We start from the raw sequence: 13,840 nt of genomic DNA on the forward strand, positions 1-13,840 counted from the left end.
GTCCACAGATCTGCTACAACATCCTGGTTCTGTGCCTGAGGGAGCTGTTCGAGTTCCACTTCATGCAAACAGACCCCAACTGGTCCAACTTCTTCTATGACCCCCAGCAGCACAAGGTGAGCCCCAGGGTGGGGGCACCCGCAGCCAGGCCTGAGAGCTTCTCCGAATGGGGCACGTGAGGCCCTGGACTGCCCCTTGTCCTGGGAAAGTCAGCAGAGAGCTCAGGGCTCTGGGAGTGGGGATCCTCACTGCCCTCTGTTGCACCCCCTTCCCGGCCCCACACACCCGCACCATGGAGCACCAGGGCCAAACTTCTCCTGGTGTCTCTGTCCCCAGGTGGCTCTTTTGGATTTTGGGGCAACGCGGGAATATGACAGATCCTTCACCGACCTCTACATTCAGGTAACTGGAGAGGGGCCCTGGCCTTGGTCCATGTTTTTCTGAGGCTGGGACAGGATGCTGGGGGACTCGGGGTAGGGAGAATGACTGGGTTCCTGCCCTTGTGTCCCCATCTGCGCTGCCTGCCCCTCAGGTCTGGTGACAGCAGGCAGTTAGGCTGACAGCTGCCAGGCGTGGTGTCACAGCACTGGCCGGGGGCCCTGTGCAGGGAGAGGATGAGGGTGGGGTGGGCTCGGGTGTGGCACTTGGCTCCCTGGGATGTCGGGAGCTGAGCTTTTCATGCTGCCCACGGTCCCCTCCTGTGCCTCTCCCCAGATCATCAGGGCTGCTGCCGACAGGGACAGGGAGACTGTGCGGGCGAAATCCATAGAGATGAAGTTCCTCACCGGCTACGAGGTCAAGGTGAGCAGGGTTGCGGGGGATCCCCTGGGCCTGCTGACCCAGGGCCCGGCTCCCTGTGTAAGAATGGATGAAAGCACAGGGGGCAGCTGCCCTCAAGGGGCCCCCAGAGCCCGGGCCTCCTTGGGCACGGTCTGAAAGCTGGGGCCCACCCCGGCCCATGCTGCCCTGCTGAGCGTGAGATTTTCCGAGTGGGCCAGTGAGTTGGGGACTTGTCGTGAAGCTCTTGTTTCTGCCTCTCACTCTTGCCCACTTAGGGCTTGGGGTTGGGCCTCGATTGAGCCAACGTGCAGAGCAAGTGGGAAGGGAAGCCCCAGCCCTCCCCTCATCGAGCCTCCCTGGGGGGAGTTGGAAGAAACCTTAGAAGCCTTTTAAATAAAGGGGAACGGTCTGTGCTGGTGCCGCCTGAAGCCACCCACAAAGTGGCATTTTCCGCTTGCTGCTTGACAGTGGGGAAGGAGTTAAAGAAATCCAGGTCAAGCCTTGGGTCTGCCGTCTCATAGGAGTGTCATTTGAGGCTTGTCAGTATCTCTGAGCCCCCCTTATCTCAGCTGTAAGCGCTCAGCGGGCAGCAGCTCTCTCCCGCCTCTTCCTTATGGCCACTCGCACTGACTCGATTCCTGGCCGCCCCGTCCCTCTGACCACCTTGGGCTGTCCCTGGCGGCAGCTCCTCTCCCCTGCTCTGCTGGCGGCGGCTTCCTTAGGTTGCTAGTTCCCGTGGGCAGACACACGGCTGCTGGGTGTGTCTTGGGTGGACTCTGGCAGGCTCAGACACGCATGGTGGGAGGCCCTGCCAGCTTAGGCCCACGGACTCTGTTCTTTTTGGCCAGAACAGTGTTTTGTTAAAACTCTGTATGAGTGCCACGAGGCGGGACGCATCCTCTGCACTCTGCCACAGGCCCCGCCACTCCCTTTTGTATCACATCAGCCCAGTCCATGTTACCCTCGTGTTCCCGGCCCCTGTGGGTTTGAGTTTATGCCCATTACCATGATGTAATCCAGTTTACAGCAGAGCTTTGAATGAGAACTCAGCGCCCCGGGCACTGTGGGAGGAACCCGGGCTGGTGGAGGGCTCTGGTGTCTCGCCGCCATTTATCCTTCCTCTCTTGCCCCAGGTCATGGAAGACGCCCACTTGGATGCCATCCTCATCCTGGGGGAGGCCTTCGCCTCTGATGAGCCTTTTGATTTTGGCACTCAGAGCACCACCGAGAAGATCCACAACCTGATTCCCGTCATGCTGAGGCACCGTCTCGTCCCCCCACCCGAGGAAACCTACTCCCTGCACAGGAAGATGGGGGGCTCCTTCCTCATCTGCTCCAAGCTGAAGGCCCGCTTCCCCTGCAAGGCCATGTTCGAGGAGGCCTACAGCAACTACTGCAAGAGGCAGGCCCAGCAGTAGGGCTGCGGGCCACGCCCAGGCCGGCTCCGCGGGAACTCTCTCCCTCAGACAGGCCAAAAACCAGTAGCGAGGTCGTGGTGATGCTCTTTTTAACTCCTTTGCCCAATAAGGGGGGTGGCTGCCTGGAGCCCCGTAGCCAGCGCTTTCCACGGTTTCTGTTGCTAAATGGTTGTAGGGTGAGAAGTGCAAGAATGAAGATGAAGCCCCACTGCTCGGTCAGTCTGCCTCCGTGTGTCCTCTGAAATAAGCAGATGAAGATGAAAGGGCAACTTTGTTTTCTTCTTTTTCCTGATGTGAATGTTAAGCAGAAGGGAGAGAGTCCTTACTCCCTTCCAATCTCTGTTCAGTGCAAAACCCAGAAACATGAACAGATACGATTGTGGGATTTTATCATCTGTGTAGTAGGTGTGTGTATGTGTTTCTAGAGTGAGATTTGTGTTTTCTGCCCTTTTCCTCTCCAGCCGATGGGCTGGAGCTGGGAGAGGTGCTGAGCTAACAGTGCCAACAAGTGCTCCTTAAGCCTGCGAGGCCCAGGCCTGTGGGGCTGGTTCTCACCTTTGACAGCTGAATGTTCCTAAAGAACTGCTGCCCCACAGTGAGGGTGGGAGCAGCGGAACAGGGAATGCCAGACACAGGCTCGCTGCTGCTGGAAGGCGGGGTGGGACTTCCTTCCTCTGTCCGGAGAGGCACAGGTGTCACCAGTTCCAGCCAAAGGCTCCTCACAGGCGCTGTGAATTTTTGTACAAGTCTTGTAATTATCGAATCAACAACTTGTTTCAATTTAATAAAAATGCTCATGGGAAGTGCTTTGGCGCGTGTACCCTCTTCTGTATTCTGGAGAATGACGACCCGTATCTTCTAGCTCGTGGTGGTGGTTCTTTTCTGACCTGACGGTCAGCAGGTTCAGTGTCACAGCCCATTTGCAAGGGTTGGGACTGGTTCAGCGTGAGGCCCTTGGCCCTGAACCTGGAAGGCTCAGCCCCGTTCCCTGTAAGAAGGGAGGTGGGAGGGGTGGAGAACAGGAGGAGAGGTTGCGGTGTCACTGCCCCAGCCCCCGGGAGGCTGTACCACACTGCTGAAGCTGCTGTACCTGGTGATGGTGGCAACTGGGAGGACAGTGACACCTGCCAGCACGGCTGATGCCAGGTCTGCATCACAGTGAGACGTCTCCTCTCTAGACATCAGCTGCAGTTGAGGACCACGTCCTGAAAAGTGGCTTTTCCTGGGGCCAGACTGATTCCTAGATAACAGGACACACTGGACACTGAGCTGGGGCCCTTTCTACGGACCTGTGAGCAGTTGAAAGTGCATCTGCAGAATGCACAGGCCCAAAAGAGGCTTTGAGAGGTATAGGCTTTCAGGGTTCTTAAAGAAAGAAAATATAGTTTCTGAAATTTGGGATTGCCGAGTAGCAGACCCAGTGGGCTCCGGGACAGGATGGAGAGGCCTGGGTGGCGTCCGTGAGGCTGCCTGGCTAGCAGCGGCGCCCAGCACCACTGTCAGATCCCTGGCTGAAACTCTTGTGGCCCTCTTCTTAAGGGTATTTGCTGTTGTCTAGCAAACTCCTCTGCAGCACTCAGATCTGAAGCCATCGCCCTGCAGAGTAAACAGCAGGGGAAGAACCCAGGCCAGCCCCAGCCAGGGCTCTCACAGTCTCCTCTTCCTCTTGAACAACAAGCCAAACAAGTCAAGCAGCAGCATGCGGGGGGAAGGGAGAGGAGAACAACAGCAGCCAGCATTTGCTTCCCCAGGAACCACGACCATAACTGCTGGAACAGGAGAAGTTTTCTAAGGGAAAACTGGAATGTGGTTTGTGTGTCCTAAGTCTGAGAGCCGGCTGAGAACTAGAGCCCTCCCTGTGAAGACAGTGGGGATCACTGGATTGCAAATGACTTTAATCCCCAAGTAAAGCTGGCTCTGAAGCTGGCCACACATACTTATTCTTTTGTACCTATTTTGATTTTTACAGTATTGTGATGAATGACTCCCCGTGCTCACCCATTCACACTGAGACATGGGGCATGAGAACATGGCAAATCATGGCTTGATTTTCCCAGGGTCTGTGTCTTCGTGTCCCTAACATCTAGTGAAGGGCTGGACACCACACAACAAAAAAATATTTGTTACTGTAGGCTTTGGCGGTTACTCATAAGGACAAAACACTAAACCATAGGCTAGAAGTTAGATTCTGAGTGCATTAACTCCTGACACTCCAAGTGGGCCTTTTTACAGAGGGAAAAAAAAAAAAAGAGGCCCAGAGGTTAAGTGGCAGAATGAGGATTTGGAACAAGACAGTCTAGTCTTACAGTCTACACTAAGGGGACCAAACGAAGGGCTGGCAAACTATGATGGTCCAAGGGCCAAATCTGGCCCACTGCATTTTTGTAAGTTTTATTGGGGCACAGCCACTCTCGTTTATGTACGTAGCAGGCTAAGACTGTTTTTGCACTGAAATGCCAGAGCCGGGGAGCTGCAGCAAACTATATACACAAAGGCACAAGGATTTCTTAACTGGTCCTGGACAGAAAAGGGTTGCCAAGCCCTGTTCTAAAGCACTGCACAGCTGACACTACAGTAAACCAACATAACAGTATCAGCCACAAATGTCAATTCCATGGGCCATTGGAACCGGAAGTATTCTCCGAATAACTACTTAGCTGCCACCAGTTCAGGAGTTCCTTTAACCCCACCCCTGGACCTTCCCTGTATGTTCTTAGATGAACCATTCTAACTCCAGAAAAGCAGTAACAGTCCGTCTTGTTTAAGTGACACAAAATCAAACTGCTCCCACATTCACACTGTCAGGGCCACTCAGGAAACCTCACGCAGCCAGGGTTTGGTCTTGTGGACCGAAGTAACAGCAACAGCGAAGTTCTGGCCAGAAGAGGGGAGTTGAAAGCTTCAGGAGAATTGAACATCATTCTTACCCGAGCTAAGGAAGAAATTAAGAAAGTCCTAGATTAAACCACAGGGGCAAACTAACCCCATGTCCTTTTACGGCATAAAGAAGCAGCCTGGATGAGGAAGGAGGCCAGCAGAAAGAAGAGAAGTGACAGGCGGAGAGGTGGCACCTTTCTCTATTTCTCAGACTTTCAAGTGGGGGGAAAAGAGACAAAATACTCAATGCTAACAGTTCTCTGTTTTATTGCAATACAGCAAAGTCTGGTTAATATTAAGTGATATCAACATAAAGTATTGGTGAGGAGTCTTTTGTGACATTTTTTACCATCCCACCTTAAATATTTCTGTGCAAAAGAATCCACATCATTGTTTGGTAGCAGAGGATCTCTTAAAAAGTTCCCTAAGACACTGAGGGCATAAAACCAAACAAAATAAAATAAGGAGTGATAGGCTAAAGCAGTATCTTCCCCTCCATCCACATTTGTCAGCATTATATTCTAACCAAAAAATGATCACACCAGGCCATGCAAAACTGTACAATATTACGAGAAAAACCCTAAAAAATTTATAAAATGAATGATATTACACTATCAAATAAAAAGACAAGTCATTTTGTTTTCATGAGATTTCAAGGTTGATTTGAGTCAGCTTCCCCCGGAACTGCACGGTGTCCTGTGTGGGGAGGGCCCAGCGTGCTGCCAGTGCTGGGGGGCAGGGCTTACACTCCTTATCTAGCAGAAGTGCACAGAGAACTCTGGACTTGAGTAACAAAGTCATAAGGAAAGAGATTTTAAAATGGGCTCCATGAAATGCAGCTCATCTAGTTCAGGGCTGGGCCAGAGAGACGGGGGAGTGGAGTGCCCAATTCATTCCCTGTTGTGCTCACCAGACATGGGCTACGGCAAAGTCTGCTCTGAGCGCCCCTCTGTCTAGATTGGATGGGGAGCCTTAGGCTTGGCAAGGCCTACCTGCTGGGAGACTGCAGTGGTTGTGATCCCGGCCAAAGGCGGCAAATGGCCCTGCTGCGTCTGTGGTTTTGACCTCTGCTCACCCCTGCTCTGGCTTTTCCTTAATGATACCTGAGATGCCACATAAATGTAACCAGTCTTTCTCAGAAATAGACGTGGCCACTAAGTAACAAAATGACATAATTCTAACCTATGGAAGGAGAGAGAGGCTGAGAGCTAGCCAGGAATGATAGATTGTTGCTGTAAACATGACAGGAATTTCAGATTCTCCCCTGAAATGTGAGTACAATAATTGGCTGGAAAACCAAATAGATGGGCTCCTTTTAGTTGTATCTCATAGCCTTAAAGCTGTGCTCCCTAGGAAATAACAGAAATCACTAAGTGTGTTGGGGATGTGTATAAATACATACATAATAACAAAAAATGTAAGATCTACTTTAGCAATCATTTGACAAGAAGCAAGACTTTTGTTTTTGGCAAAAAGAATATATATGTATGTAATTTTAAATACCCAAAGCACAAACATGATTAGTCAGAATTTGAGGGTAGATAACTTGGCTGGACATAGATAGCACCAAATACTAACACAGATAGACTATCCCAGAAATGCCTCTGAATGTATTTTTTCTATTGAGAAACAGGTTTCTGCTGCCATATACGTTTTTAAAATGTCCTGCATGAAAACAAAAGAAAACTTCAGATAGTAATAAAATACTTTATCTGTGAGCTGTGCTACTGACTCCTCTGAATGGTCATTATGTTTTCTTTGCCTAGAACCCACTCCCTGTCTTTTCACATCATTCTTCTCAGAAGCTTCTGGAGGTAACAGGCTTCATATTTAAGGGTGGGATAAACCCAGTAGGATGACCGTTATTTTGGGAAAACCCTCCCCAAAACTATTCCCCCTGGCAGTGTTTCTCTCCTAAAGCCCTGCTTTTAGAATCTGCACGCATTCGGGACTGCTCTATTATGACTGATGAGATTACTTGCCATTGCAGTGGAAAAATCAAAGAGTGCCATGGTGCAATCCATGGGGTGAATATGGACAAGTCGCCCAGTTAGCCTGGCAACCTAGACAAGCCTCAGTAGCTCTCTCTCTCTGCCCTGTTGGGAGGCTGAAGAGTATGACCCATAGCAGTGGAGCTAGACTTTAGGTAGGGTTATTATTTTGATCTTAAAAGCATCCTTTGCAAAATAAGCACCTATAAGCAACAAAAATTCATAATTACTTGTCAAAGCTACAAACTAATGGCTTATGTCAAGTCCTGTTAATCTCGGCTTGGGATGGCCTCCTCCCTGCCTGAGAAGAGAAGGGAGAGAGGAGAAGGCAAGGGGAAAGGGAAGAGGAGGATGGGGAGGGTGGGGATGGGGAGGGTGGGAAGAGTGAGGAGGAGAGGAGGGGAGGGTGGGGAGAGTGAGGAGGGTGGGGAGAGTGAGGAGGGTGGGGAGAGTGGGGAGGAGAGGAGAGAAGGGTGGACAGAAGGGGTGCGAGCTGGTCACGAGCACCAAGCAGGGGGCCGGCTGGCTGACTCCCTTCTCTCACGTGAGGTGCTGAGGACAAGGATCTACCAAGTCATATGACAATGATCCAACTAAAGGGCCAACCCTTGGTATTCAGGTGAGAAAAGTATTTTTATACTTCATTCTAAAAAGCAGAAAGATTTGGGAGATTAGAACTGTGCTGTGAATTACACCCATCCAAAATAAAATATAATCAAATCTGAGCTGGCACCAAACTCAGAATGTTTAAATGTCAAAGCTGTTACATGAAAATTCCCGATTATAGGTGCTTACAATGGAATCCCCAGCAGGATCCTTTCTTCCCTCACTGCATCTCAGAACCTTCTCCACACAGCAGCATCACCTGGAAACAGCCTCAGCTCCCTGCACATGCCGCAGGCCAGCATGGTGGCCACCTCAGTGACACGCAGGTCACCTCAGTGACACAGACGTGGAGTCACAGACAGCAGCAGTGAAATGATGGCCTTAAACACTGCAACTCAGGTTAGCAACTGCAGGAAAACTTTCTTCATTTTCACTGAATTTTAAAGAGAGAATCCTGTCTCTATTTCTCAGAGAAACTTAGGTGAAAAGTAAAAGAGAGGCAAAATCTCTTTCCTTCATGAGATACTTTTATTTTTATCTCTTTCTCTACTCATGTGCTTAACTGGTGAAATGATTCTGTAGAAATAGATCCTTCTGATTCTGCATCTCATTTCCTTATGGCAACTACAACAGGAGGAATCCAGCTGGAAATGCCACTAACCCCACAATCCAGCACCTGAGAGAGGAAGCCAGTCGGAGCGCCGTGCTGGGCTCACTCACTCTGGCCTGCGCACTGGGGTTGTCACATCCATTTTCCACTGGCTATGGGGAATAATATTTGGTTAAGGCTGTTGAAGCCCTTGCTTTTGAGGTTTTACATTATTTGGTAATGAAAGCCGTTTTTTCTTCCTTCCCCAGGCTTATGTGAAGAAGCCCACGCCCACTCTCAACAAAACAGACTCCTCCTTGGGAAGCATCTCCAGCCCTGGGACAGACACCTCGCTGTGACTTAGGGAGGGACAGGATTAGCCCAGGAATAAAAGCATTTTTAGAAATTGTTTTCTGCACCTTCAGAAGCTACAACACTCCTTGTAACCTTTCAGATGGAAGGGATCAGAGGTGACAGAATCGTGTATTTCTACATTTATCTGCGGAAGATAAAATACAATAAAAAGTGAGAAGTGTTCAAATTCCACCACTAGGAAAAGAAACATCTTGGGTAGAGATGAGTTCGCCTTTTGCTGCTGCTGCTGAAGTGGCTTCAAATGTTAAAGCTCTGGTGCCCAGGGCATGCCCCAAACCAGCAAAACCTGGCTCTGCAAGTGTTTTCTACAGCTCCCCAGGTGACTAGAGCCTATGACCAGTTTGAGGACAGGGCAATAAAGGGAACTCTGATTTCTCTCGCTCTCTCTCTACAAATGTGAGCTTGAGGCCTTTCCACCCTTTACATTACATTACAGACAAGAAACAACATATTTCTTTAAATTAAATCATCTCTCTTATATATGCATCCATCTTTTGTTGAATACAAGAGGCTCCTTTTAAATATATACATTCAGTACTTCTACATTTATGTATTCATTTAAACTCTGTACTGTAGTAAAATATGCATTGTTTTAATTCATAAGGATTTCCTGGCAACAATCAGGTTGATACTCACTGCGTTTGCTGATTAAGAGCTTAGTGAGCCACTCCAGGGACCAATTCTCCCTTCTGGATGCGGAGAAGCCCATGAGCTATTTTAGGACTATAATGAGACTCTACTGTGAAAGCAAAATCTGTCTAATCTTATTCTTATCACTTACATTTGTGTAATCTGTCTATTTAAGCTACCTTTGGGAGTAGGGGTAAAATGTTACTGAAAGCAACTCTAAGTGCATGGAATGAAATCAACGTTAATCTAAGCTGCTACGGAAAGTCTGTCTTTGTTGTTGCTGTTAGGCTGGGGGCGTGGATCTGAGAGTCGTGTCGTCAGAACTCCTGAATCCCTGTCCTGCTACTGCTGCCAGCCCCTGGTGGCTTTCAGGCCGAGCAGGCGAGGTGGAGGGAAGAGATGAAAGTGAGAGGAGGCGAGTGGCAGGGAGCGGAGAGCGAGAGGTCCCAGTGCTGAGGCAGCTCACGGGTCCCAGCTCCCGCGGTCAGTGCTCTCCAGGGAGAGGCTCTTGGTTTTTCGGGGTGAAGCTGGGCTTGGGGGGCTGCTTAGGTTGGAACTGTTGGAAGCTGTGGAATGCCTCGGAGAGTCAGAGTCCTGTAAGGCCCAAAGTAAAACATTAATGAGAAGGAGGGGGAGAAAGGGAGGCAGAAGGGGCTCAGATTACCACCGCCCCCTCCAGCCACCCTGACCAAATAACCCCATGGGGCGGCCTCACTGTCGGTATAAAGCCCCTTCTATGAGCTGAGGAAGAGGCACGGAACATACAAGCTCCGTCCTTTCTGTAGGCCTTTACAGATGATGGTATTTTCACACAAAAGCCAGAAGTCTGAATGCCTCTGGGAAAACTGCAGTTTGCAGCCCGAGTGACTGGCCTAGCTGCCCGCTGGCCAAGAGTGAATGCTGGCCCCTGACCCCGAACCCTGCTGCAGCTGAGGCCAATCCCAAGGTGGTGGGATTGCCTGGGAAGATGCCCTAGTCTTTCTGATACATGACGTCTCCGGAACCCTGCCCACTCACCTCTCCGTCAAAGTCCCTCGCTGGGGCATCACTTCCTTGGTCCATGCCTCCAGAGGACAAAGAGCCCTCTGACGGGGAGGGCATGGGCTGCCGCTTGGCACTGTAGCTTCCTCCAGAGAATTCCCTCTTTAATGCGCTGCCATTCTGTGCGGATGACCCTACAGTACATCATGCAGGCAAAATTTTACATATGCAGAGGGGACAATACTCTAGAAAGCACACAGACTGCTGAGCTGACAGGCCATCCTTTGCAGGCCCCAGACCACTCCTCCCCTGAAGCGCAGTAAGTCCAACTGTAGTACCTTTGCCCTGAGCTCAACCCCGAATCCAGCAATCTCACTCGCTGTTCCTGTCCACCCCAGCCACGGGGACTCCCGGTGAGCGAGCACTCTCTAGGCTGTGCCATCTGCCCCAATGCCCTGCTTGTTAACAATTCCCCAGAATCCCTCAAGTCTCCACCTGCCTGGTGCTGCCTTGCACATCTTTCCCAGCCACTGACGGCTCCCAGCCATCTTTCACACATCTCTTTCATGGCATTTATGAAGTCATGTTATCATCATGTGCCTGTCATTCTCCCAATAGATGAGGTGTCTTTGCCTCTCCAGGGCCTAGCACAGAACATGGCACACGGCAGGCTCAAAACAGATGCGCTAAATGAGGAAGCTCGGTTGTACCATCCCGAGAGAGGCCATGCCACTCAATGAAGAAATATCGCTTATCTTCTAGAAAATTTTCATAAAACCATAAAGAAAACATAAAAGTACTTTTACTTCACAGGGCAAAGAGCCTGAGATGTAAAATAAAAGTGAGGTTTTCTTCAAACTCACTCTCTATTTTGTTCTCAGAGTTGGGGTAGGTAACAGTGGACCAGCAGCATTCACAGGAAGAAAAGGGAAGACCCAGAACACCCTGGGGAATCTCGGGGCTATTGTCAGTACCTATTTAAAGCTCTTAGCATTCCCTACTATGACAAGGTTTTTGCTTAAACATGCCTTCATCGTGCTGAGTTTCAGTATTAGGATGATTGGTCCAAAAGACTGTGTTGAGGTTTTAGCACAACTCTAAGGTACAGGTTGTGCTTGTTTCAACTTTTTGCGGGTTTAACATGTCTCAATTGTTTTTCACATTAAGAATTCAGTGAAAAATGTCAAAAAATGATAGTTTAAAGCAGCACATTTATCTAATGACCACCAAAATACACAAGCGTTCATAAATAAACTGAACAAGAGCCTGCCTGGGCAGACTCTGTCCTTGGTAATCCCCCTTCCACCTCCCTTCCTCAGCTTCTTTGCGAAGCCCCTGGGCTGCAGTCACAGGCTCGCTGGCATTTCCTCGACACTGGAACTGACTGACTGCAGATCAGCAACACTGGTGGTTTACTGTTTAGCGTATGATGGAGCTTGACAAACACCAATGCCCAGCCCTATCCCAGAACAATTTGCAGAGTTTCTGACTTAACTTTAAAAGTCCTCCTGTCATTTTTGCACATTGATTTTGTAACCTGAGACTTTGCTGAAGTTGCTTGTCAGCTTAAGGAGATTTTGGACTGAGATGAAGGGGTTTTCTAATACAATCATGTCACCTGCAGACAGAGACAATTTGACTTCCTCTCTTCCTATCTGAATACCCTTTATTTCCTTCTCTTGTCTGGTTGCCCTGGCCAGAACTTCCAATACTATGTTGAATAGGAGTGGTGAGAGAGGGCATCCTTGTCTGGTTGCAGTTTTCAAAGGGAATGCTTCCAGCTTTTGCCCATTCGGTATGATATTGGCTGTGGGTTTGTCATAAATAGCTATTATTTTGAGATACGTTCCATCAATACCTAGTTTATTGAGTTTTTAGTATAAAGGTGTTGAATTTTATCAAAGGCCTTTTCTGCATCTATTGAGATAATCATGTGGTTTTTGTCACTGGTTCTGTTTATGTGATGGATTACGTTTATTGACTTGCGTATGTGGAACCAGTCTTGCATCTCAGGGATGAAGCCGACTTGATCGTGGTGGATAAGCTTTTTGATGTGCTGCTGGAATGTTTGCTAGTATTTAATTGAGGATTTTCGCATCAATGTTCATCAGGGATATTGGCTTGAAATTTTCTTTTTTTGCTGTGTCTTTGCTAGGTTTTGGTATCAGGATGATGCTGGCCTCATAAAATGAGTTAGGGAGGAGTCCCTCTTTTTCTATTGTTTGGAATAGTTTCAGAAGGAATGGTATCAGCTCCTCTTTGTACCTCTGGTAGAATTCGGCTGTGAATCTGCCTGGTCCTGCCTTTTTTTAGCTGGTAGGCTATTAATTACTGCCTCAATTTCAGAACTTGTTATTGGTATATTCAGGGATTCAACTTCTTCCTGGTTTAGACTTGGGAAGGTGTATGTGTCCAGGAATTTATCCATTTCTTCTAGATTTTCTATTTTATTTCTGTAGAGGTGTTTATAGTATTCTTTGATGGTAGTTTCTATTTCTGTGGGATCAGTGGTGATCTCCCCTTTATCATTTTTTTATTATGTCTATTTGATTCTTCTCTCTTTTCTTATTAGTCTGGCTAGCGGCCTATTTTGTTAATCTTTTCAAAAAACCAGCTCCTGGAATCACTGATTTTTTGAAGGGTTTTTCGTGTCTCTATCTCCTTCAGTTCTGCTCTGATCTTAGTTATTTCTTGTCTTATGCTAGCTTTTGAATGTGTTTGCTCTTGCTTCTCTAGTTCTTTTAATTGTGATGTTAGGGTGTCGATTTTAGATCTTTCCCGCTTTCTCCTGTGGGCATTTAGTGCTATAAATTTCCCTCTAAACATTGCTTTAGCTGTGTCTCAAGAGATTCTGGTATGTTGTGTCTTTGTTCTCATTGGTCTTAAAGAACTTATTTATTTCTGCCTTCATTTCGTTATTTACCCAGTAGTCATTCAAGAGCAGGTTGTTCAGTTTCCAAGTAGTTGTGCGGTTTTGAGTGAGTTTCTTAATCCTGAGTTCTAATTTGATTGCACTGTGGTCTGAGAGACTTATAATTTCCATTCCTTTGCATTTGGTGAGGAGTGTTTTACTTCCAATTATGTGGTCAGTTTTAGAATAAGTGTGATGTGGTGCTGAGAAGAATGTATATTCCGTGGATTTGGGGTGGAGAGTTCTGTAGGTGTGTATTAGGTCCGCTTGAACCAGTGTGCAAAAATCACAAGCATTCCTACACACCAATAATAGAGAGCCAAATCATGAGTGAACTCCCATTACAATTGCTACAAACAGAATAAAATACCTAGGAATCCAACTTACAAGGGATGTGAAGGACCTCTTCAAGGAAAACTACAAACCACTGGTCAAGGAAACAAGAGAGGACACAAACAAATGGAAAAACATTCCATGCTTATGGATAGGAAGAATCAATATCATGAAAATGGCCATAATGCCCAAAGTAATTTATAGATTTAATGTTATCCCCATCAAGCTACCAATGATTTTCTTCACAGAATTAGAAAAAACTACTTTAAATTTCATATGGAACCAAAAAATAGCCTGTATAGCCAAGACAATCCTAAGCAAAAAGAACAAAGCTGGAGGCATGATACTA

At 48.0% G+C, this 13,840-nt stretch overlaps 2 protein-coding genes across 32 annotated transcripts in view, besides 5 other annotated features; one reads left to right on the forward strand and one right to left on the reverse strand.

Moving 5' to 3' along the window:
• COQ8A (coenzyme Q8A) overlaps window positions 1-3,005 on the forward strand; it is a 47,251-nt gene extending 44,246 nt beyond the window's left edge. For all 10 annotated transcript variants that reach the window (XM_047425745.1, XM_047425732.1, XM_024448517.2 and 7 more), the window contains 4 exons: window positions 9-116; window positions 337-402; window positions 715-801; window positions 1,914-3,005. In XM_047425745.1, the coding sequence (XP_047281701.1) occupies window positions 9-116; window positions 337-402; window positions 715-801; window positions 1,914-2,198 (546 nt within the window). In that variant the 3' untranslated portion in view covers window positions 2,199-3,005. The remainder of the gene's footprint in view (window positions 1-8; window positions 117-336; window positions 403-714; window positions 802-1,913) is intronic.
• Window positions 7-185: a silencer, noted in NCBI's record as "fragment chr1:227172247-227172425 (GRCh37/hg19 assembly coordinates)". NCBI's record gives its function as "represses an EF-1alpha promoter that drives an FKBP-Casp9 reporter gene in an ReSE screen in K562 erythroleukemia cells {active_cell/tissue: K562}" and the evidence as "EXISTENCE:reporter gene assay evidence [ECO:0000049][PMID:32094911]".
• Window positions 5,319-13,840, reverse strand: part of CDC42BPA (CDC42 binding protein kinase alpha) — a 328,635-nt gene continuing 320,113 nt past the window's right edge. For 21 of the 22 annotated variants that reach the window (XM_017002580.3, NM_014826.5, XM_047432364.1 and 18 more), the window contains 2 exons: window positions 10,284-10,441; window positions 5,326-9,860 (listed from right to left, as the gene is read on the reverse strand). In XM_017002580.3, coding sequence (XP_016858069.1) covers window positions 9,729-9,860; window positions 10,284-10,441 — 290 coding nt within the window. In that variant the 3' untranslated portion in view covers window positions 5,326-9,728. Of the gene's footprint in view, window positions 9,861-10,283; window positions 10,442-13,840 lie in introns of all 22 variants that reach the window. The other variant, NM_001366011.1, reaches the window with a different exon arrangement.
• Window positions 5,979-6,058: an enhancer, noted in NCBI's record as "active region_2676". NCBI's record gives its function as "activates an Ori minimal core promoter by ATAC-STARR-seq in GM12878 lymphoblastoid cells {active_cell/tissue: GM12878}" and the evidence as "EXISTENCE:reporter gene assay evidence [ECO:0000049][PMID:35858748]".
• Window positions 8,053-9,252: an enhancer, noted in NCBI's record as "BRD4-independent group 4 enhancer chr1:227180293-227181492 (GRCh37/hg19 assembly coordinates)". NCBI's record gives its function as "activates an origin of replication core promoter dependent on BRD2, P300/CBP, MED14 and CDK7 cofactors, and independent of BRD4, by STARR-seq in HCT116 cells {active_cell/tissue: HCT116}" and the evidence as "EXISTENCE:reporter gene assay evidence [ECO:0000049][PMID:35650434]".
• Window positions 8,815-9,015: a silencer, noted in NCBI's record as "peak740 fragment used in MPRA reporter construct". NCBI's record gives its function as "represses an SCP1 promoter by STARR-seq MPRAs in K562 erythroleukemia cells {active_cell/tissue: K562}" and the evidence as "EXISTENCE:reporter gene assay evidence [ECO:0000049][PMID:32103011]".
• Window positions 10,130-10,276: a silencer, noted in NCBI's record as "fragment chr1:227182370-227182516 (GRCh37/hg19 assembly coordinates)". NCBI's record gives its function as "represses an EF-1alpha promoter that drives an FKBP-Casp9 reporter gene in an ReSE screen in HepG2 liver carcinoma cells {active_cell/tissue: HepG2}" and the evidence as "EXISTENCE:reporter gene assay evidence [ECO:0000049][PMID:32094911]".

Source organism: Homo sapiens, chromosome 1, assembly GCF_000001405.40.
Source record: "Homo sapiens chromosome 1, GRCh38.p14 Primary Assembly".
In the NCBI taxonomy this organism is placed as follows: Eukaryota; Metazoa; Chordata; class Mammalia; order Primates; family Hominidae; genus Homo; species Homo sapiens.